A 24,497-nucleotide genomic window follows, 5' to 3' on the forward strand; every position below is an offset into this window, starting at 1 on the left:
TACTTTGGGGAAAGAAAATGTCCATAGTCTTTATCAGATCTCAAAGAGTCCATGACTCAAAAATGGTTTAGAACTACTCCTCTTTCTCTTATCCCACTCTTTAAAGCAAAACAGAATGGGTGTCTCAACTCTTCCACACAACAATCCTTCAGATTTTAAGAACAGCTGTCCTGTCTTCCTCAAGCTTATCTTTTTGGGCCAACTTTATCTTCTCAGATTAGATCTTTCCAATTTTTTCAATTTTCTCATATGATGTGATTTGTTTATCCTTCCCTATTATTATCCACATCTACCTTATATGTTAATTTCTCAATCAATATCCCTCTGGAATGAGTTCAGAAGCCTCTTGACCACTCCAGGAAATAGGGGAACTGTTCCTGACTCTTCCATTAGTATAGCCTAAGTGTGAATTCAACTGTTCACACTCTCACAGTGGAGTTTCTTAATGATCACATGGTTAACTAAACTCCCGGATGTTTGCATGATTAATAAAACTAATCATGAAAATAATGACGGACATTAACCACCCACTCTGTGTTAAGCCCTGTGCCAATTACTTCATATGTATAATCCCACTTATATCTCATAACAATTCTATAAAATGGGCACAATTATTACTCCTATTTTACAGATAAGAAAAATTGGGCTTATTGAGGTTAAGTAATTTGTTCAAGGTCATAAGTGACAGGTCCAGGATTTGCACCTGGATTTGTCTGACTCTAGATTCCATGCTGGAAACCACTATTATACTACATGCAGACATCCTAGGTAGTTCTTTAACAATTATTTCTTTAAAAGTAGAACTTATATTTATCCTTATCAATTTTTTTTCACCAATCATTTTGTAACAGTGAAACAGCAAAAGAACCAACATAACTAATTCAAGTTTTGTTTAAGGGACCTTTACCTGCATGTAGGCTAGGATAATTTTAGAGCACTAAGATAATATGCAAAAACAGCAATCATGTAGTTTTAAAAATTAACTCTGATATTGAAGGAGAAGTATGCAAAAAACCGTTTTGTTAAAGATCCATGGTAGCATTATAACCTGACTGAAGACAAAGAAGTTCCCAACCTTCTCGGACCCCTGCTGGTGCCCAGATATCTGCATTGTCTGTCACCTCTTGATCCCAACTGCTTCTCATTCCCCTGCCCTTAACACAAAAAGAGCCTAAAATCTGTACTGACATAAGATGGTAGTTTAGGATGTTAGTCTGCCATTTTCGTGATTTGCTGGCTCTCAGAATAAACCTGGTTTTCTTCCCACCCAAGAAACTCTTGTCTCTTGAGTTTGTTTTTCGAGTGGTGAGCAGCCAAACCTGGGTTCAGTTATAATTTCTGCCTATCATAATTTTTAAAAACCTACTTTTGTCACCTAACATACCCTTGGCTATCTCTTCTACCTTCATGTGGCCCCACCCATTCAGTAAGTGTACTCTGCCTTCATGGTTCAAGGTGTCCGCTGAGTCCAGTAGGGGAGAATGAGTAATAATCATAGTGACAATCATAACCAACATTTTTTTGAGCCAGACACACTTCTAGAACTTTACTTGAATTGTTTCATTTAGTTTTGATGGTTAACTCTATCGTGCAAATAAGGATGCAACTGCAAAGAGTCCAAATACTGGGTCCAAGGGTACTAGTGAATGCTCTCTCAGTTGAAATGAACTTATTGCCCATCACACTTTTGGGTGCAGTGTTCAGCCAGTTACACAATCACCAATTTCCATATACTTTCACCTTTTCCATTGGTAATGAATTATTTATCCAATGACCGGCTGCATCACAACTCATTATGCTATGTTTATAAACTCTAAGTTTCAGCCGCACTGTTGGAGAAAGAGATACAGCTAATTTATGGCTTCTGACAGAAACCCCTCATTTCTTTGTTTGTTTGAGATGGAGTCTTGCTCTGTTGCCCAGGCTGGAGTGCAGTGGCACGATCTCGGCTCACTGCAACCTCTGCCTCCCGGGTTCAAGCGATTCTCCTGCCTCAGCCTCCCAAGTAGCTGGGACTACAGGCGCCCACCAGTACGCCCGGCTAATTTTTTGTATTTTTAGTAGAGACGGGTTTCACCGTGTTAGCCAGGATGGTCTTGATCTCCTGACCCCATGATCTGCCTGCCTCAGCCTGAAACCCCTAATTTCTAATTCCACAAAGACCATCTATCTGTTTAGTAATTTCTAGAGGGATCTCTCTGGGGATTGATATAAAATTACTGATACATGTTTTTCAGAATTCATTTTTTAGTTTTTCTTTTTTTTTTTTTGAGATGGAGTCTTACTCTGTCGTCCAGGCTGGAGTGCTGTGGCACGATGTCTGCTCACTGCAATCTCTGCCTCCTGGGTTCAAGTGATTCTCATATCTCAGCCTCCTGAGTAGCTGGGATTATAGGGACCTGCCACCACGCCTGGCTAATTTTTGTATTTTTAGTAGAGACAGGGTCTTACCACGTTGGCCAGGATGGTCTTGAACTCCCGACCTCAAGTGATCCACCCACCTCGGCCTCCCAAAGTGCTGGGATGACAGCCATGAGCCACGGGGCCTGGCCCATTCTTTAGTTTCTTTAAACACAGACAGAATTTCTCATTTCTGCTTGACTTTCCCATCTCCATAACTATAACTGACCAATGTAACTGACAACAGCTCTGCAACCACATCTGAGAGTTCTCCCACTAATCTGGGGTATAGTTTACTTTGCCCAGGAACTCAACTGCATTTTGAAGTCTAAATATTCTTTTCCAGTGTTTTCTCTATGCTGGACTTCAAGACTCTTTTTCCTTCTTGAAGATTTTCAAAAGCATTCTCCTTACTGGAGTTGACTGAATTTAAGTAAATTAAATATTTTTGTTTATTTCTGTCACTTTCTACATGTAGAACCCGTCTCTTTTTTCTCCTCTTTATTTTTGCCCAAAGGTTTTTTTTTTTTAAATATCTCTTTTGATGGATACCTATATGACAAGCAGTAATTACCCTGGAAGTAAAGAAGATTAGCATAGCGTCAAAGGGGTCTTTAGTGTTATCTGATTTGTGCCACTTTTTAAAAAAGCAGACTGTACTTATATATCACTTGTGTAACTAAAAATTAATACTGCCTCCTTCTTCCTAAAAAATGCCCTTTTGTTATCCTCAGTACAGAGTAGTGAGAAAAGGATAAGCTTTCAGGACAGATAGCCATTGTTCGAATCCTGGGTCTAGCATGTATTAGCTGTGCCTCTCATTTCAGTTCAATAACAGATATTTATTGGTTTGCTAAAAACTAATGTTCCAACAAGTTACTTTAACTTTTCTGAGCTTCTATTTCTTTAGCTAAATATGGAGATAATAGTAGCAAGCAGGTAGGTAACGAAGCATAAGAGTAACAGCACAAACTGTGCCTCTTGAGTACGTGGAATCAAACACAAACTTTATACTTGCATGCCCTTAGACAAATTAAATGCATGTGAATTGTGCACATAAAAAGCATTAGGGCAATGCCAGGCATGCAGTAAATGCTGTATAAATGTCAGTTATCACTATCATTATTACACCTAAGAGCTGTTGTTTAGATTAATATAGTAAAAGTTCTAAAGTATCACAACAGTATCTGCACTCTAAATAAATGCGAGTTCTCCCATGTCCCCTCTTTTAAGCGTATAGATGAGTACTTTATACAATTTTTGTTTTAACCTCAACGGACCTTACCTACATATATCCCTTCCCTTTTTAAAAAACCATCAGCTTCCTCTGGCCTTTATGTCTTCTAGATATAACTCTCACAGATTAAAGACGTTCTTTAGAAATGCTGGCTCTATGCCTGACATTTTCTCTTTCCTTGGGTACTTCTTTTTAAAGCATATGGCCCAAGGTCATAGAGTAGCACAATTAGAATTTTAAAAAAATTGTTCTTACCTCATTCTGGCATAATGCCTGCTATACTCTCAACCTTACGTCAAGTGGGCCAGGCTCCACTACCATGAAGCTTTTGTGCCCAGTTATAAAAAGAACAAGAGTCCAAAAAGGCAGTCATATGCAGGGCAGTGAGCAAACCAGACAGGGAGCTGGTAGGTAGCTGCCCTCATGCTGTGGTGAGGTGTGGGGTGAGGCTGGGCCTGCTCCTGCTGGAAGGTTCCTCCTCCCAGCAAAAGGGAGAGAAAAGACTTCCATTTAGGCCGCAGGGCTGCTGTGATGCTCCTTTATTAAAAACATTTCATAATGTTTTATGAAAGTATGAAATTACATATAAAATTTACTATGAAATAGATGTTTTATGCAATTATATATAATATATTCAATAAAATATTCTATTTTTTTTTGTCAAATAGTAGTAATCCACCAACCCAAACATTTGTCTCTTGTAAAACTATCTCGTCTGTGGTTTCAGTGTTTATGTTGGCATTTCATTGTCTTGTGAATTCTCTAATAATGTACTTTTAACTAGTGTTGAGGGCTGTCTGATGTAGAGGCAACGATTTATCCATATACTATGTTCATGAAAAACACATTTTATAATCAGTTTGCAAACCTCCCCTTGTGCTTCTGTAGCCCTGAGGGCAGCATGGGCAACACTAGGCACAACTCCAGCATCCCATCCCAACTCATGCAATAGTACCACGTCCTTACTTAGCCCAGAGACAAACTCCCGGAAGTTAATCAAAGAGTCTCCATTTTCATCTAATAACTGGAACAAGCGGGAGGCCAGAACGTCAGAGTGAGTTCCACATGCCCAAGGAAAGAGAAGAGCAAACATTCCCTTGAACTGCTCGAAGTCAATGCGATACTGTTCCAGGTAGGGCAGGCTGGGGTCATGCCGGTCCAGCGCGTTGCTGCTCCCGCCCCAGTAGCAGCTGGTGAGATGTTCTGCCTGAAAAAGAATGGATGATCACTGGGGACCCTCTTTTGCAGCAAATACCAGAAAGAAAACGCCCATCCTCCAGTTTGGAAAGGGCTTTAGGTGAATCTGTGTGCATCCCCTGGGGCAGGGCTGTGGCCTCAGGGCCCCCTTGGTCTCTTAGTTCTACATACACCTCCACTTGACCAGCCCTTCACTGCCTCCACACCAACCACTTCTGCAGTTTACATCTGGAAGGTCTGCTTCAATTACTGGGTGTAGGTGAAGAAAGAAAGGGAACTCTCCCCCACCACATTCTCTTCCCCCTTACCTACACACTCACATACATTTTAGAACTAACTCCCATAAAGAGAAAGAAATTTTTTAGCTTAAATAGAATGCTACTTGAAAAAGATAGGAATTTAGGTAATGTGACCGCCTTGTTTTCTAGGTGACAATGGTAAAATCCAGACTTTATGTGGCTCATATGAGGTTAACCAACCAGTTAAAGCAGAATCATGATGAGATTTTGTGTTTCTTAACTCCCGCTTTAATGTCCCATGTATCATACATAACCCCCTGCTTCCCTGCTCACCAAAATCACATAAATAAGATCACAGTCACACAGTATTCAACCTACAAGTGTGTGGTCATCCAATTTCACACATCTGTGAATAGCTCTAGAAAAATTATCAGCGTAGGAACCACTCCGGCGAGCAGAATAGAGATCCAGACCCAGCAAAGGGCTTCCTGTTGCTGGCCTTGGAAAAAAGGCAGCCTCTTTATTCATGAGGTCATGGTGACTCTGGTAGAAATATCCACTCCTTTTAGGAAGACCACACAAAAAAGCATGCGCTAGAAAGTTCTGAAAGAACACCCTCAACCCCACACAGGCATTTATAGTTAACTCTGGGTGGCAGGTGGGGGAGAAAGGAGGAGCATAAAAAGGAGGACTTCGTTTTTACTTTTTCCATATTGTATTGTCTGAATATTTCACTATAAGCACGAATAAATATGGTAATAGAAAAAAAAAACACCTTTGGCCAGGTGCAGTGGCTCATTCCTATATTCCCAGCACTTTGGGAGGCCAGGCGAGAGGATCGCCTGAGCCCAGGAATTAGAGAACAGCCTGGGCAACATACTGAGACCCTGTCTCTATGAAAAAAAAGTTTAAAAAGTAGCTGGGCATGGTGGCACATGCCTGTAGTCCCAGCTACTTGGGAGGCTGAGGTGGGAGGATAGTTTGAGCCCAGGAGGTCAAGTCTGCAGTGACCCGGGATGGTGCCACTGCACTGTAGCCTGGGTGACAGAGTGAGACCCTGTCTTAAAAAAATAAAACTAAAAAAGAAGAAAGAAAAATTACTTTTGAAAATCCTTCTCTTTTCCCTAGGGTTTCTGAAAAAGAGGAGAGTCAATTGTGAGTATGTTATATTTCTATTTTGCTCTCCCTTAGAAAAGGAGCAAAGAAGATCAATGTCTTTTCACAATTGTTTATTGGGAATTGTAGTGAAAAAGCTAAAAAGAGGAGTGGGAGTAGGGAAGAGAGGAGGAAGGAGAGGTGGTGAGCAGAACCAGTCAGGTTTTTTGCAAGGCGACCTTGAGAGAATAAAGGAAACTGTGTCAAAGTTCCGTGGGCTTTGGGACTGCATTCCTGGGACTGCATTCCTGGCTGCAGGGTGGAGGCGGGTGTGTCAGTGGCAGGGAGGCAGAAGCTGAGGTCAGAGTGGCCTGCTGGGTTGAGCTGTACTCTGAACGAGCATGAGTGGAGCCCAGCAGCCCTCTGTGGGCAGCATGGTGTTGGGGATATATTCCGGGAGGGAACCCCTTAACCTGAGCTACATCGGTTGACAAAGGTTACCCAAAGCATTTCCTCCTAAGCACCCCAAGTTGCTCTGAACCTGGCCTGAACATGGGTGCAGGCACTTTCATGGTGCTCACAACCATTAGGATAAAACATGCCCTTCAGATCATCTCCCTTGTTCCTTGCTGAGAGCCCACAGACCATCATTTGGGGACTATGGGCCCAGAGATTGAAACAGAAGGGCTAATTTGGAAAGAGTTCAAGAGAAACCAGGGCAAAGGGCCCCTGAACCACATTTTCCATGAAATCTGCCTTAAGGTGCATTCTTTAACCTTTTCTCCTCAAGTTCTATCCAAAAGTCTGTGCAGTAAGCTCCTTGGGAGGAGGACTACATCATTCCTTTGTATCTCCAGAAAAATACCCAGAAATCGACTTCCTTAAAAAAAAAATTTAAGAGACAGGGTCTCACTCTGTTGCCCAGGCTGGAGTGCAGTGGTGTGATCCTGGCTCACTGCAGTCTCGACCTCCTGGGCTCAAACGATCCTCCTACGTCAGCCTCTGGGCTACAAATATATGCTACCATGCCTGGCTAATGTAAAAAATATATATTTTTTAGTGATGGGTCTTGCTATGTTGCCCAGGCTGGTCTAGAACTCCTGGGCTCCAGCACTCCACCCTCCCACCTCAGCTTCCCAAGTACCTGGGATTACAGATGTGAGCTACTGCACCTGTCTCTAGAAATTGGCTTTTTAAAGTACTAAGAAGTCTGGCAGGGTAACTAACACATAGTGATGACTTAATAAATGTTTGAGAAGATGAATGAGAGCCAATTGAAGTGTTGCAATGATTCCATGAAGTGTCCATAACTGAAGTTTTATATTGGATTCTTTAGTAGAAGAGACTCTGTCCCACCTGACACCAACCGAGTCTCAGGTTCTTCTGGGTCCTCAATACAGCTGAGGAACCTGTGTTTTCAACACACCCTTAGGGCAGGGTTTTGAGTATAAGAAAACTGCTTTCCTCAGCATATTCTCAGGGTTCAAATGACACGGCTGTTATCTGAAGGTACACAGACCAGAGAGCGCAGCAGTGCCCAGGTTAAGATGTGGTTTCAGCTGGGCGTAGTGGCTCATGCCTGTAATCCCAGCACTTTGGGAGGCCAAGGCAGGCAGATCACAAGGTCAGGAGTTCGAGACCAGCATGGCCAATATGGTGAAACCCCACCTCTACTAAAAATACAAAAATCAGCCAGGCATGGTGGCAGGCACCTGTACTCCCAGCTACTCGGGAGCCTGAGGCAGGAGAATCGCTTGAACCTGGGAGGCAGAGGCTACAGTGAGCCGAGATCGTGTCACTGCACTCCAGCCTGGGTGACAGAACGAGACTCCGTCTCAAAGAAGGAAAAAAAAAAAAAGATGTGATTTCAATGACTACCAGATCCAGGACTTCTGTACAGCCAGCCCTGGTCCTCCTTCTTTTGCTTTCCCCGAGTCAGCCTCCTCTGTCCGCTGTCACAGTCCTTTCTCTTACCTGTCCATGCTCTTGCTGCCTCCAGCTGCTACTTCCACTTCGTTTAGCTCCCCCCAGAATCCTGGCCCTGCCCCCATGCCCTGAGAACGTTTCTTCTGGTCCTCAGCATCCCTTAAAAACCTGATCTGAATTGCATCATTGTTTTCTCCTGCCTTACGGATCTCCAACTTACACTATGTGGAACAATTAGCTACAGGTGCTTAACATGTACGAATAAAATATTCATGAGCTGGCACACCACAGAGACTGCACCCTCAAGTGCCGGATGCAGGCTGGCAGGGGTGCCACTGTCCACTCTGTTGATAATGCTGATGCTGCACCAAGCGCACCACCAACCAGCCTGGACACCCGGAGTGCCTCCATCTTTCTGGGCTTCGGTTTCCTCGTCAGAAAAATGCAGGGACTGTGTTATATTGAGAACTAATCACTAATTTATCTATTAATTCAACACACATGTTTGGAACACCTACAAAGGCAGAGACTCTAGTATTAGTACTAGTGCACTTTACCAGGCACTAGTGACACCAACATAAATAAAACAGTGGTGCCCTCCAGTGGTGAACAGGCAGTGGGCGACATCAGCAAGGGCAGTCCTAAGCAACCACATTTTCTGACTGTAAGACGTAGAATACCAGTGTTCTAGTTTTTATGTTCGTTTCTATTTCCTCCTGTACTATCTTTGCAATTCTCAAAACAGCCAAATTTAGTTCTGATGGTAATTAGAAATTGTGATGAAATTGGCACCTGCATAAAAGGCATATTTTAAACTTTTTTTCCTGTTGATTATCACATTTTAACCTCTGATGCTGATGATACCTATGACAAAAATATTTTTTTCCAAACGAAAAAATTGTACTTTGCTTTATTTATGACCATAATACTTTCTTATTAAGAATCAAGATTGGGGCCAGGTGTGGTGGCTCACACCTGTAATCCCAGCACTTTGGGAGGTCGAGGTGGAGGTCAGGAGTTCAAGACCAGCCTGGCCAACATGGTGAAACCCCATCTCTACTAAAAAAAAAGAAAAAAAAAAAGAAAAAAGAAAAATATAAAAGTTAGCCGGGTGTGGTGGTGTGCGCCTGTAATCCCAGCTGTACCTGGGCAACAGAGTGAGAGCAAGACTCCGTCTCAAAAAAGAATAAAAATAAAAAAATAAAGATTGGTAGGGGCTGAATTAGGAAAGGAAAATCACAGAAATTTAACCAATTATGCTTTTCCTTGGGCACTTAAACAACTTTATTCTAACTACATAAGGGTGTTTTTATAGCTTAACATAGGCAATCACAATTTGCAATAATTCAAGCAGAACTTAAACTTGATCACCATTGTTTTTAATAAGTATTATGAAGCAATAACCTATTTTTTTAGGTTCAAGTAAACAACTAGAATATTATATGGAGTGCAAGGTAACTAAAACATCAACTTAAATTGGTTATAAGAATGTTTATTTTCATATTAAGTACTACAGTTTTGTACTCTCAGCTCTAGCTTCCTATTTATATTATCCCTTAATTTAACAGAAAAATCAAGAACTAACTGAATTATTAAGGTGAACTCCTTTACTCCTTTGAATGGGCATGAATTTACCTTGCAACTCACCTTGAAAAGAGCATAAAGTTCTTCCAGCTCATCAATGGTAAAGGAAGTTTCTGTCACAATGGTTCGTACCTATAAAAATATTAAGCAAAATGAATTTCACAAACTCAAAAAGTGCCATGCTGGGAAAATCCCTAATTTTTCCCTTTCAAATTGTTTTCAGTTCTGTCAGGCAGGAATCCACAGCCAGCAGGAGTGTGAAGAAGGAAGATGACAGAGGTTGCCTGCTACTTCTTAAAGGACTTACCACGTTGCGTTTCGTAGTATCCTCCAGCGTCTGGATCACTTTCAGTCTCTGTTTGAATCTCATCTGTTCAATCAAATCTGCCCGGATAGTTCCGAATTTCTGTAAAGGAGCAATATTGGTGTCTCTGAAAAAATCTCTTACAGCACACAATGTCCTGTCTGCAGAATGCCTGCAACACACTCTTGACACATCAAAGAAATGACTTCTCATATGATGGGCATCCTACAGTACACCTTTAGCTACTGTTTTAAAGCCACCGAGCAATCAGAAATAAATATCTGGAAATTCTCAGGCAGCTCAGCAGCTGAATTAAATTTCAGAGTCAAATGTATTTTCCTTAAGTCATCAAGTTTGTCAAGAAGGGCTAAATAAGGCTACTTGTGTATGAACAAATGCTTCAAAGAAAGAATCTTCTCAACTAGCAGAAAGGTCTAAGGCTAACAATTAGACTAGAAGATTGGAAGAAACCTCCAACCCTGTGTGAGTCTCCCTGCTCCTGACCAGTAGGTTCAAGAGCATTTGTCCATCTGGCCCAGAAATGCATGCTATGTGTCTCCTGATGGCAGACACTGTGAGCTAGCCATCTCTTCAAGCTCCTTCGTACCCCCTAAATGTTTGTTGTCAAAAGCCAAACCAGTCTTTCTATCTGAAGGCAGAGAAAGAATTTGTAAGATTTTATATATCTTAGGGATGCAAAAGAAAGACAAAGAAACCCTGGTTAAAGTATGAAGCTTAACCCATGGAAGCAGTGACTGCAATAGTTAAATATATTTGGAAACCAAAAAAGTATCTGAGACAGGTCTCAATCAGTTTAGAGGTTTATTTTGCCAAGGTTGAGGAAATGCCTGGGAAAGAGATGCAAGTCACAGGAGGCTATGTGGCTTGCACTTTTTCCAGGGAAGGTTTTTAGGACTTCAATATTTAAAGGGGAAAAGGGGCAACAGGGGGAAGAAAGGGGAAAGGGAAAAAAAGAGGGAGGGTATCACATGTTGTGTGAAAAGGTGGGGAAGAGGGAACAGTCAACTCTGCATTTGTCTGGCGCTCAGTAAATCTGCACTTTACATAAGATAAACGTAGAGGAAGATGACAAATATGACCTTATCTTAGGGTGGTGGGGTGGGGGGGGGAGTAGGTGGGGGTGATTTCTAGTCTTCTGTGGTCTTGTACCTGTGAAGAGCTGTTAATTTACATTGTCAGGGTGAGGGAGGCCCCCTTGGGAGACATGAGGCCGTCTATCTTGCAGCTATCTGTCTAGGAACAAAAGGAAAGGCAGCTTTTTGCAAGACTCAATTTCCAAGCGTAACTTTTCCCTTTGGCAAACTGAGTTTGGGGTCCTGAGATTTTGTTTTCCTTTCGCATATTTAAAGGATAAAGAAAAAGCTGACAAACAGCATCGAGTGTTGGTAAAGATATAGTGCAACCAAAACTCTTATATACTGCTGGTTGGAGTATCAGTTGCTACAACCGTTCTGAAAATCTGTCTGGCAGTATCTACTGACTGAACATTCTCATATTCCACTACTAAGTATATAACCCCCCCAAGAAGCATATACATATATGCTATATATATATAGATTTATTTTACTTTACCGAAAGACATATGCTAGAATATTAATAGTGACACTATTAACCAAAAGTCAGTAACCACTCAAATGCTCATGCACAGAATGGATAAAGAAATGGCAATATCATCACATAATCAACTATTTTGCAGCAATAAAAAGAACAATATATTTAAATCTTACAATCATAATACTAAGCAAAAAAAAAAAAAACAAAAAAAAACAGAAGCAAAAGAGCATATTCCGTGAGATTCCATTTGTATCAAGTTCAAAAGAAATCAAAGATCATCTACGCTTTTAGAAGTCTGGAGATTTATTAACCATGGTTGGATGGACAGTGATATGAAAGGGGCACAAGGGGCACTTCCAGGTTGCTAGCACGTTCTATCTTTTGATCTGAGTAAACAGTTACATGAGTGTATTAAAACAGAGGCTTTAAAAAGAGTGCCTTTGTGAGCCTTTGACCTCTTTATCAATACCTACTCCCCAGGAATTTGCAACCATTTTTATCACCTCCACTTTTTGTTTTATTGTTGTTGTTAAAAATGAACTCAGTATGTTTAATAAAGTTTGGTATTATCAAAATCGCAGTACAAACATCAAGTCACACGCCCACATGACAGAATTCCATTTATAAAATGTTTCTCGGGAAGCCCCCACTGGGCCCGTGCCCAAAGAGAGCCTGACCACAGCCTGGGGTCTCTGGGTGGGCAGAAAAGGTGAGTATGGGGGTGGGGAGGAACTCGGGGTAGGGGGAGGAGGGCGGAGAGGAAGGAAAGTGGAGAAAAATGCAGACTCAGAAGCAGTCCATATAACAGCTCAAAAAGAGCTAGCCGGCGATATTATCACAACGATACAGTACAAATCAAAGCAAAAATAAAAATAATTTGGCCGATACAGCAGGCTACACTGCCAAGAACCCAGATGGCGGCCTTCCTGCGGCCATCCGCACGGGCCTCCTCACCCCCCATCTCTCCCGTGCGCCCACTCGCTTCCTTCTCGCTCACTCGCAGGCACTCTCTCGCTAGGAAACACAGAAAGTATTTTGTGTTTGGAGATAGTAACCTTAGTCAAATGAATCTTCCGAAGAGTCGCTGAAGGAGGAATGCACCTTAGCCTCTCGAAGCAGCAAACAAAACCACTGCTTCCTGCTGGTGGCTGGCTTAGGTTTCAGAGTCCGGGAGGGGGCGGAGGAGGGGGTGTGTGCCAGGCCCTCTTGGTCAGCTAGGGGCCGCCAGCTGCCTTGCTGTCCTTTGCCACCATGCCACACAGGAGGGAAGGCATCAGTTTGGAGCTAGCCGGAGGGGCCTTGGGCGGGCCACTCTCCTTCAGGAATTCTTCGTCTTCCTCTGAGTCTGTATTGTAAGAGTAGCTGCTCACTTCGGAGGCAAACGCGGAATGGGCCGACTTGGGCTGGCCTCTGGCCTTGAACCCCACCCCTATCTTCCTGGCTTTGGCGGCCCTTTTGTGTTTACCTTCTCTGGAAGATTTCAGAGACAGGCCGGAGGCCCTTGGCCAGCACCTTCCTGTCCTTGCCCAGCAGGCTGTCATAAGGAGTTAAGTACTTGCTGCAGCCCCTGCCAGTTTTTGATTTCCCCCCAGCACTGTCTGAAAACTTGAAGGGTGACTTCAACTTGTCCTGCTTGGTGAGGGAGAGGGCCTTTGTCGAGCTTGCTTGCCAACTGCTCCTGGTCGCTGTCCATCTTCTTCTTCTTAATCTTCAGCTGACTTATGAACTTAGACGAAGCCTCGTGTTCATCCCAAGTCTGGTTCCTCTCCCTGGCTTTCCCTGTTCCAATAAGGGCATTGTGTTCCTCCTTGGGCCCTTTGTGTCTCTTCCTTATTCCTGCTCCCAGCTCATAGTCATCTGATGTCGGCAGAGATTTGCTGCTCAGCTTTCCGCTACTGTTGCAGTTCTTCCCCCTCTTGCGGGCGGGCGACAGGGCTCTCGGGGGCGTGGGTCTGTTTCCACGGCCTGCGTGCCAAGCTTCCATGGGACTCCTCGTGCCTGTCCTCGGAGTCCCGGCGCCGCTGCAGCTTCACCAGCTCATGCTGCTTCTCCTTGTACTGGTGCTGGACCTCGGCCCGCCACATTCTGAAGTCCAGTTCCAGGACGTCCATGTCCTCCACGGAGGACTTCATGGGGTACATCCGCTCCTCCTTCTTGCGCATCCAGCTGTACTTATTGTGGGCTTCAGCTCCCGTGGGAGCCGCAGGTTCTTGAGCGGGTCCCACCACGGGCCCATCCAGCACCTCCCTCAGCATGTGGCTGCCGGCTGCCAGCAGGCTCTCCAGTGAGGGCCGAGCCACCAGGGCCCGCTCCGCACCTCCCACCTTCTTGCTCCTCCTCTCCAGCTCCAGCTCTGCGATCTCGCTCAGCAGGGTGATGCCGTGCAGAAAGCTCTGCTCCAAGACAAGGCTCTCGGCAGCTTCCTGCTTCTCCAAGGCCTGGACTCCAGTAGCACCTGGGGAGGGCAGAGGCCTGGCCTGGGGCAGCTCCATGGCCACCTCCATGCCAGCCAGTGGGTCTTCCAGGCCGGGCAGGAACTGCTCAGAGCTTGCCTCTTCCAGGTAGCAGGTGCTGCCGGGCACAGGCACGGCCTCCCGGGGCTCCAGTCTCGGGCACTCTCCCTCCCCGGCGGGCACGTCACAGTCTGACATTTCTAGGCTGGGCTGGGGCTCGCTCAGGGCCGCCTGGGCCAGGCCTTCCTCCGGCGCTGCCTCTGCCGCAGGAACCGCCACAGGCACCTCCACTGGCTCCTCCTTGGCCTCCACTAGCGTCTCGGGTGTCAGCTGCACCCCCAGGTCCAATGCGGCCGTGCAGGGTTCTGTCCGGCCCGGGGAATCCACGCATGCTTCAGGCCCCTCCGCAAAGTCTGGGCACTCAGAGGGCTCGGTGCAGCCCTGCCCGGTGGCACTCAGCGCCTGGGCCTCCAACGGGCCACCTCTGCATCCGCCTGCAGGGCTCGGGGTAGCCATGGTTTCCATGGCGGGCAGTGGCAGCGGCAACTCCAGAGGCGGCAGCTCTGCGGGGCGCTCGTCCACATCCTCCACCTCCACCTTCGCCTCCTGTTCAGCCAGCGGCTCTTCCTCCGGGTCCTCCCGCAGCGGCTCTGGGATCTTGGAGGGGGACAGGAGGATGAGCTTGTCTTCGGGCGAGAGTGTCAGGCGCTTGGTCCCATCAGCTGGGAGCAGCACATCAGGGGCCAGGCCATCCGCATCGGCGGCCACTGTGGGCTGCCCCAGGAAAGGGTAGGGCCTCCCGTAGTGTGGTGGCAGGGCTTGGAACGGATACCTGGGCGGCATATCTGAGAACAAGGCCTGGAAAGTGCTGGGGGCTTCCTTATCCAACTCCAAGTCCTTCTTCTCGACCACGTTGTCGGGGGTCTCTTCCTTGCGGGTGATACCCGGGGTGGACAGCAGGGAGTGGGGAGGCAGGCTGGTGGGGTGGGAGCTAGGGGTAGCAGGGTAGGTGTAGGCAGGCGCCTTGGACACGTCCTCCAGCGGCTGGATGACCTTGGCCTTCAGGGCGGCCATGGGGGACGCGCGGGGCGATGGCGGCGGGCTCACCGCCTTGCCATAGATGCTCGCAGGGCCGGCAGCCAGGCGGGGGGCTTTCGCAGCAGCATCCCAGGGCAAGCGGTGGCCAGGCCAGCCTTGCCCCCGGCCCCCAGGCCCCAGTTGCTCCACTTCTCCTCCATCTCTGCCTGGTACTCCTCTGCGCCTTCAGCCGCTCCAGCTGGGTGCTTCTTTGCAGTTCCAGGGCCTGGGCCGCCCGCTGCTGCAGGTACAGGAACTCCTGCAGCTGCAGGAAGTGCTGCAGCGAAAAGAGCTGCAACTGCTGGGCCTGGTGCAGGGGGCTGCAGCCTGGAGAGTACAGGGCGGGGCAAAGGGGCAGCACGGTGGCCCGCTCCATCAGCTCCGCAAAGTGAGGCAGGTGATCTCTGGGAATGACCAACAGCTGGCCCGACTGGGAGTCCCTGACAAACTGGTAGGGCGACAGCAGGGAGCCCCCAGGCTGGGTGGGAACGCAGGGGCCATGCCCTAGTGCAGAGATGGAGGTCCCAAGCCCCAGGGGTGTCCGGCAAGCCACATGGACATGCTGCCCGAGCGGGACAACCAGGGGTGCGTGGCCAGATGGGTTGCGGGGTCCACAGACCAGCAACCGGAGCCTGCCAGCACTGGGCCCCAGGTCACCAGGAGGTTGGGGTTCAGGCCTTTAGGAGCACAGCTGGTAGGGTGCACGTGGGCCAGGTCAGCCAGCTCATTACTCTCTCTGAGCAGCTTCTCCTGATCTCAGTCCAGCCAGGCCCCCAGCAGCCATTACTCCTGGTGTCTGGCCCGGTGTCCACACAGTCCTCATCTGCTTGGCTGTGCTCTTTCACATTACTCAGTGACAGAGGGTGCTCCTGGTCTGCCAGCCCAGGCCCCAGCCAGCCACTGCTGCCACTATCCTTCTGCAATGCCCACAGGCGGGTGTCGCACTTCTGCTTCACCCTGGACACCAGAGCCCGCGCATCCAAATGCCTTGGCACTCTCCGGCCTCTCTGGGTCGCGCTTCAGCTGCGGGCCCCTGCCCACTGCTATCATCTCCACTTTTAACTACCCCTAAGCCACTATCCTCTCTTGCGAGAGCCTCTATATACATCTCCGCACTTCCTCCAGGCATGCATCATTATCTTCCCCCAGTAGTAAGAATGGTTCTAAAACCAGAGTCAGACAACACTCTTCCTTTGTTTAAAATTCCAGTGATTTTTCATCCTCTCTTGGGATAAAATTCCAAGGCCTCTAAGCCCTTCATGCTCTTTCCACCTTTCACAATGCCCTCTCTGACCAGCCACCACCAACCTCTTCTTACTCATTAGTTCTAGTGGCCTCTTCATGTTCCCCAAGTGCATCATGCAGGCTCCCTGCCAGCCACGGCCTGAGCACCGGCTGCTGGCTGCCCCCTCTGTGCTTCTCTCAGACAGCACTGTATTCGGTCCTCCATGGCATCTGTGTCTCTGCTAATTGTCATCTCACCAGAACAATAAACGCTCAGAGAAACAGTATGTCCCCACCCTTCACTGTGCCATGTTCCTTCTTACTTGAATTTAGCACCACTTTGCATTTGTTTTTGTTTGTTGGTTTGTTTTTGCTTAGTAAATCTATCACCACTTACTCTATGGCAGAGACTGTGTGACCAGGACATGAGCCGAGGACAGTGCTGATTCACATGTAAGTGCTCAACAAATATTTGCTGAACTTAGGGGGTCCTCATGATCATTCCAGGAAGTAAGTGCTCTTCCTATCCCCATTTCAGAGACAAAGAAATCGTAGTTTAGCCAAAATCATTAACTTGCCCAAGTCTACACAGCTGGTAAGCAGCAAAGCTAAGTTCAAACCCAGGTCGTCTGATTTGAGAACTCGTGCTCTTAGCTCCATCCCGGGGAAACTCCCTGGCACCTTACCTTTCTGACTTGCTGCACAGCACAGTAGGCACCCAATAACTGGCTAGGGATGCCAGATTCAATGAATAAAAGCATAGGAAATACAGGATGCCCAGTTAAATTTGAATTTCAGGAAAACAATGAATACTTTTTTACTATAAGTATATCCCAATCAATATTAATTAATCCTGTATTTTTTTCTGACATCCCTATAAATAGCACCACTCTATAGATCAGTCTGTGTAGTGGACTCTAAACTATCCTATTTCCTAAGTTGGAGTTTACAGCAAAAAAGACTATGCCTTTCTAGTACCTTTTACTTTCTGTTTTGGAAGGACTAATCCAGGGAATTGAAAGGAATGACCCAGGCATTCCTTTCAGATAATCAGAGCAAAAGAGTACACTGACATCTCTGAATCTTCCCAGTCCATGTTCCACCAGCAATGTGGTGAGTGGGTCTCAACCTTACAAAAGCAGGATTTATGGAAGAAACTTCTTATCTCCAAGGAAGTGCCTTCCAAAGGTGGAATCAGATTCTTCTCAACAATGAAGATGCAATATTTATTTGCACTGAAAAGCTGGAATTCAAGAGTTAGTAGGGGCTGCCATTAATGATGAAAAGCAATCATATTTAATTCACTATGGGGTTTTATCTTTGGCTAGGAAAGAAAAACTTTCAAGGAAGGTAAGTATTTTGATCCAAACAGAAAAGCAGTGAGCATCCATTGCAAATTACATGCCTACTGATGAAGAACTGGATTTATTACTTCAAACTGGGCCATAGGATGCCTGTGATCAATAAAAAACACTAGCTGTGAGACAGAAGGAAAGACAGTTTTATTGTACCTACAATTGTTAGGGACATTAACATGCCATCTCATTTGCACCTTACAATAACTTTAGTGAGTCTAGACTGCTACCTCTGTTTTGCGAATGGGCAAACCAAGGCTTGGAGAGGTTAATTAAGTCCCCCAGAGTTCCACAGTGGCTGAGCTGCAAGTGGTCTGAGGCTCAGATAAATAGCTCTGTAACTCCACCAACTACCATTCTATCATAGGCAGTAAGTTCTTCCTTGTCTCTGGGTTGAAAAGAACATAAATTTTGGAGCTAGACAAAATTTGATTCAAATTATTGTTCTTTGACTAATTACCTATGTGAGTGGGCAACTCAGTTGAATCTTCTGACCCTGTTTCTTCCTCTATAAAATGAGACCCCAAAGCTGTCCTTGTAAAACTGTGTTGGAGATAAAGTTCCAATAATAGTAACTAATATTAAACATTGGCTTTGTAATCTTTTGCAGGGTGCCAAGCAAAAGAGCTATTTCCTCACAAGCCTGACATTCAAAGAGCCCCGTGTGTCTTAGATCTAATTAATATCAACTAGAAATGGATTCTGCTATTTGTTAGGCAGGGCCCCTTCCTCAGCCAGGACTCTGCAACTTGCCAGAGACAGAACACAGTGGCCCTTCCCTCTGGAGCAAATGGTCCCAACCTAAATGTAAACCGTGGACTCCAAGTTCCTGCTTGGTTATTTCTGGAGGATTTGTAAAGGAATGTGAACAATTAGAATGACATGGGGGTCTCTCCCTCCCCCGACTTTGGGGGGGGTCTCTCCCTCCCCCGACTTTGGGAGGGGCTCTGCCAGAATTAAATGCTAAAAATAGGACAAACAAAACTTGGCTCAGTAAATGCTGCAGCCAACACTTCCCATTACCCAAAACAAAGACACAGGTGTGGATATAATACCTTCTCTCAGGCACCACATATTCCAGTTCCTTGAGAAGTGCTAGTTCACTAATATCACAATAATACTTGTTCCAGCAAACAGAATTTGTGCTGGAGGTGAGGGAGCCTATAATTATTTTAATTTTCTAAAATTTCCCTTCCTTAAACAATAAACACAATTATCCATCTTTGTTTATATCTCTTATCCAACTCAACTATTTTAAAAATTTTGTTTTGATGTAATCCAACTCAATTCTTATCTGAATGTTTCTGTGGCCTGTTTCTAATTTTTCAGTTTAATTTCTAACATCTTTATGAGCAGAAAGGCAGTTTTGTTGTTGTTTTTTTTTTTTTTTTTTGAGACAGGGTCTTACTCTAGTGTCCAAGACGGAGTGCAGTGGCATGATCACGGCTCACTGCAGCCTCAACCTCCTAGGCTCAGATGATCCTCCCACCTCAGCCTCCCAAGTAGCTGGGACTACAGGCATGTGCCACTACGCCTGGCTAATTGTTGTATTTTTTGTAGAGATGGAGTCTCCCTATGTTGCCCAGACATGTCTCAAACTCCTGAGCTTAAGTGGTCTGCCCGCCTTGGCCTCCCAAAGTACTGAGATTATAGATGTGAGCCATGGCACCTGGCCAGAAAGGCAATTTTCAAAGCAGACGGTACTTCTTTTTGTTGCTTTGCCCCTGTGGGTACTGATACCAACCAACAAATAGGTGTGTGGCCCTTCATTTCATACCACCTTCCCCCATCCTGCCTGCAGATGTTCCCTTTCTCTCCCCCAGACTTAGAACAAGGAACAAGTAGCTCAGATAAAGCAATGAGGTAGAGATGAGTCTGTCTCAAGTTTATGTTCTCTGGCTCCTCCCACCCCACCATCATTCCTGAGCGGAACAAGAGTTCCCCTGCCCAGGCTGGGCAGTGTTTCTGTGATTTACTTTATCCTTCAAAGCTTACCCTGTGTTACCGGGAAGACAAGGATGGATGAAGAACAGATACAGATTTTTAAAAGAGACTGACCACAAGGTCAAGCTCAATCAAGTTCAATCAGCCCTTCCTTTCTAAATCCTCCAAAGAGAACTTGAAATATTTAAATGCTACAGCTTAAAAAACACCCAGCAAAGCAACAACAAAGCTCAATGTAGGCCAGAGGGCCATGGAATGATGTGAATGAGTCTGCCCACCACAGGGGAATTTACTGAAATAAAAAGAAGGCATTGGTTCTAATATGCAAAGTCTATGGCTTATTTCTATTTTAAAATAAAACTAGGTCATCAAATTATGCTCAAAATGCCTCTTTGGTGTTTCTGAATTTGTGGGGTTATTTTCCCAGTATGCAGAATGGGGTTCACTACTGTTAGCAGAAGGCTGAGCACCAGTGACACCTGAGACATTCCTTGATCAGAAAAAACTCCAAATACTTAAGATAGTAAATGAAGCTTTGCCTTGGATGACTGGGTGAGAGAGGGAAGAAATTGATGGAATGTGAGGCTTTAGGTATAGAAAAGCCTAACATTACAGGAGGCAGAGCCCAAGAGACGAGAGAGGGATTCTCACACACAGGGAGCTTCGAAGGAGCAGCCCCACACACTCCCCCTTGACTTCTATGGGGGTGGCGTCTGTCTGCACCTGTGTACTTATGTGTTAGGTGGGGAGTAGATGTTCAGGAGGGCAGAAGAAGAGGGTGAGGGGGGCAGAGGAGGCAGGAGATGATAAGAAGAAACAAGGATATGAATTCAGGGAAGAAAACTCTGGTGGAGTCCCATGTTCGTTGAATGGGTGGCCCTTTCTAGGGTACTCTGATCTCTAAAGAGTCTCACGCCATGACTATATTCCCATCAGGGAACACCCTCATAACTCTGCCAGAAGTGGGCCCATATTTTATATTTGAATACAGTATTTATATTTTACGTAAAAATATATCATTTAATATTTTATGCTTCTTTAGGTGCCATGTCTTTTGAGATCTTTTGTCTACCAGAAAGGGCTAGAGAAACAGTTGTCACATAAATATGGAAATTACAAAAAACATTTAGTTTCAATACTCCATGTAAACTATTAGCTGTTGTGTGAACATGCTGCTGATTAAATTACAAAAAATAACTCTAAGCACAGTGCCCAGTATCACTATATTTTTACCTAGAATTTATTTTGAAAGTTGCTGTAAAGCAGAAATCATGAACAGGCAGCCAGTAGGCTAGAAAGTCCATGATGAATATTGTTTGGCCCAGGGAGTATTATAAAAAACAGTAATCTTCAAATAAAACAAAGAGTTCCAACTTCTCTTGAAAAATTAAAAGTTCTGGCAGCAATGGTTCCTTGCCTCAGGTGGTAAAGAGACTGTCAACTCTAGCAGGCTCCAGCTGTCTAGTTCCAGAAGCCCACCCTTTCCTACCACCTTCACTCCCTACCCCATTGTTAAGTGCCTTGATGAGCGACGCCACAGTCATGTGAATTTGTAATTCTGCTCTAGAGTATTTTCTTTTACTTTTTCTTTTTTTGAGATGGAGTTTCTCTCTTGTTGCCCAACCTGGAGTGCAATGGCGAGATCTTGGCTCACTGCAATCTCCGCCTCCCAGGTTCAATCGATTCTCTTGCCTCAGCCTCCCGAGTAGCTGGGATTACAGGCGCCCATCACCATGCCTGGCTGATTTTTTTGTCTTTTTAGTAGAGACGGGGTTTTGCCACGTTGGCCAGGTTGGCTTCCAACTCCTGACCTCAGGTGATCCACCCGCCTTGGCCTCCCAAAGTGCTGGGATTACAGGAGTGAGCCACCATGCCTGGCCTCTATTTTCTTTATATACACACCAATAATGTAAAGTTCAGCCTCTATAAAGGAGACATGCTTTTGACACCTGGACATTGTAGAAAAGGCACAGTTTCATAGCCACATGTAGCAAGTGGGACACATAGCAAGTCCCAGATTTCACATAAATTTTATAAAAACTGATGGCCCTCATCTTCTTCATCAGCAATATAGGGAAAATAATTCCTACCTCTTTGGAATGGTGTAAGACTTTTATGCACACATAGGTAAAACAATTAGTATGGTAGCTTTTATTATTCCCAGCATTGTTGATAAAAGAAAGAGGAAGATGAAGAGGATAGAAAAAACACTTTTCAAAATCAGCAAAACCTGGCTAGGCACAGTGGCTCATGCCTATAATCCCAGCACTTTGGGAGGCCAAGGCGGGCAGATCACTTGAGCTCATCAGATGAGCCTGGCCAACATGGTGAAACCCCGTCTCCACAAAAAAGACAAAAATTAGCCAGGTGTAGTGGTGCACACCTGCAGTACCAGCTACTCAGGAGGCTGAGCTGGAAGGATGGCTTGAGCCTGGGAGGTAGAGGTTGGAGTGAGCCGAGATGGCACCACTGCACTCCAGCCTAGGTGATAGGGCAAGACCTTGTCTCAATAACAACAAAACAATCTCAAAACTTGCTAATGTTATAACTGAGATTCCATTAACAACGGGTGAGAACTAACTTATAGGTCCACATTTTCTTTTGAGGTATAAACAAACTTTTAAAAATTAAACTTAAAATTCAAAGCTATGGATTAGCAAAAAATGCCATGCCGAAACTCACCTTATCTGTTAGAGACACATAATGAAGAATTTATCTGTTAGAGATACATTCTTTTACAGGTGAAATAATACACTGTCTGGACTTTGCTTTAAGTTACTTCAGGAAAAAAAGAAAAAAAGTGGGGAGGAGTAATAAAACAAAGATCAGAAAAATGTTGATAATTGTTGGGACTGGATGATGGGTTAAAGGAAATGTATTATGTTATCCTTTTGGCTCATACTGGGCTTGAAAATATCTAGTGCTGATAATGTATCCCCAGGGCTGAGCATGATACCTGGCATAAGAAAGGTGCTTATACAATCTTAAATAAAGATTTCCTTGGTTGGGCACGGTGGCTTAAGCCTGTAATCTTAGGACTTTGGGAGGCTGAGGTGGATGGATCACTTAAGGCCAGGAGTTCGAGATCAACCTAGCCAACTTGGTGAAACCCCATCTCTACCAAAAATACCAAAAGATTAGCCAGCCTTGGTGGTGCACGCCTGTAGTTTCAGCTACTTGGGAGGCTGAGACATGAGAATCACATGAACCCCGGAGGTGGAGGTTGCAGTGAGCCAAGATCAAGCCACTATACTCCAGCCTGGGTGACAGAGGGAGACCCTGTCTCAAATAAAAAAAAAAAAAAAAAGATTTTGTTAATACATGAATAGACAAATGCTGTTTCTTGCATCTCCTGGGTCTTTCCCATATACAACCACACTATCTTTTTTGCTTGTCTATTCCTTCAGCTCTCCCCCTCCTCTAATTTGTTGCACAGGAAGCAGAGATAATGTACTTCAAGAAGAATGCTCTTCAGTCTCCAGTGGCTGTTAGATGCCTTCCAAGTCAATTAGTGATTTCAAGACTCCCTACTAACCAGCTCCACTGGACCAGTTGACCTCATGACCATCGGTACATCCATAATTCCATCTCTCTTCTAATCCAAATAAAGTCCCTTGGTCCTGGCTTTAATGCAAGGGAGCTCTTCCTTGGATACTGGCTGCCACTTTCTAGCTGTGCAGCTTGGAACAACTAGCTCAACCTCTCTTAACTTACATTTTCACCTTAAAATGCATTAACATTTACATGGCAGAGCTGTCTACAAGGCACCCAGCACCTTGCCCCACACATGGCAGGCTCTCGATGAGTAATAGCTATTATAGTAATCATTAATAAGCCAGAGACACATTACTCTAAGCTTTCATAAATGCCTATCCATCTTCACAGATTGTGCCTTCTGTTTTATTAGCCACATCCTTTCCCTGCTTAACACTTTTCAGACTAAACACACTGGGCTGGGTCATCTCGAACATGAAGCAGCTCTGTGATAGCTGTGTACCCACTTTAAGGCCTATTAACATCCTCTTGTGCCTTCCAGGAGGGGCATCTCAGTCTATGAATCAAACTTTAAGATTGGGACTTTGTCTTCTACTTCTATATTACTCTGCTCAAAGTGCAGGGCTTCACACAAGGGTCTACACAGAAGAAAACTGGAGTCTCACACCACTTACACAATTCCTTTCAACAGAGGCTTAGGGGAACTTATAATGAGTGAGATTTTCCCCAGGAGGTATTTATGAAGCGAAGTTATCAATATCAGACTAATTTCTAGCAACCTAGGGAGCCCTTAACTAAATTTCAAAAGATGAATGTGCTTTCAGTATTTCTTTCCTATGTTTCAATTGTCACGGCTAATTATCCTGAAGAACAGAAAGAAATGCATTGTGTATCTTAGAACACTCAGGTGTCATGCCTGAGCCCAAACCAGATTCTTACCCACATCAGTGATTAGCCCCATTCTGCATCCAGCGCAGTGAATCTCAACCCTCACCGGACATTTGGAATCGCCAGGGAAACTTCTTAAAATATATGTACTCTTGGGCTTCATGCCTACATTCAGATTTAATTGGTCTGGGATGGAGCCTAGGAGTTTATGTTTTTAAAAGCTTAGCTTAAAAAAAAAATTAAGTGATGTAATGCACAGACAGGATTGAAAACCACCAATTTAATGGTTAGGAGGGAAAAAAACAATCAGCAAGAGTTCGTGGTGTTCTCTTTAAGTTGATCTACAAGGCATTAGAGAGCCACTGGAAACATAAGCAGAGTAGTGACACTTAAGCAGAGAAGAGAAAACAAAAACCTAGTTATCACGCACTGAAAGACCTGGTAATATAGGCACTGATATAAATTAAAAGGATTGTCTTTCCAGGCAGAGGAAGGGAACTGCGG

General features: G+C 45.0%; 1 protein-coding gene and 1 pseudogene across 2 annotated transcripts in view, besides 1 other annotated feature; both read right to left on the minus strand.

Annotated features, from left to right (window-relative positions):
* Positions 1-24,497, minus strand: part of TBC1D9 (TBC1 domain family member 9) — a 135,604-nt gene that overhangs the window by 8,563 nt on the left and 102,544 nt on the right. The window contains exons 14-16 of the mRNA NM_015130.3: positions 9,986-10,084; positions 9,742-9,810; positions 4,604-4,844 (exon numbers count right to left, since the gene is read on the minus strand). Coding sequence (NP_055945.2) covers positions 4,604-4,844; positions 9,742-9,810; positions 9,986-10,084 — 409 coding nt within the window. The remainder of the gene's footprint in view (positions 1-4,603; positions 4,845-9,741; positions 9,811-9,985; positions 10,085-24,497) is intronic.
* TNRC18P1 (trinucleotide repeat containing 18 pseudogene 1) lies at positions 11,847-13,736 on the minus strand (annotated as a pseudogene). Its single transcript, NR_077215.1, has one exon. The product of NR_077215.1 is annotated as a trinucleotide repeat containing 18 pseudogene 1 (transcript).
* Positions 14,250-14,923: an enhancer, noted in NCBI's record as "H3K4me1 hESC enhancer chr4:141564748-141565421 (GRCh37/hg19 assembly coordinates)". NCBI's record gives its function as "activates a minimal SCP1, AML or CMV promoter by ChIP-STARR-seq in primed H9 embryonic stem cells {active_cell/tissue: H9 hESC(primed)}" and the evidence as "EXISTENCE:reporter gene assay evidence [ECO:0000049][PMID:30033119]".

This window comes from Homo sapiens, chromosome 4 (assembly GCF_000001405.40).
Source record: "Homo sapiens chromosome 4, GRCh38.p14 Primary Assembly".
NCBI lineage: Eukaryota > Metazoa > Chordata > Mammalia > Primates > Hominidae > Homo > Homo sapiens.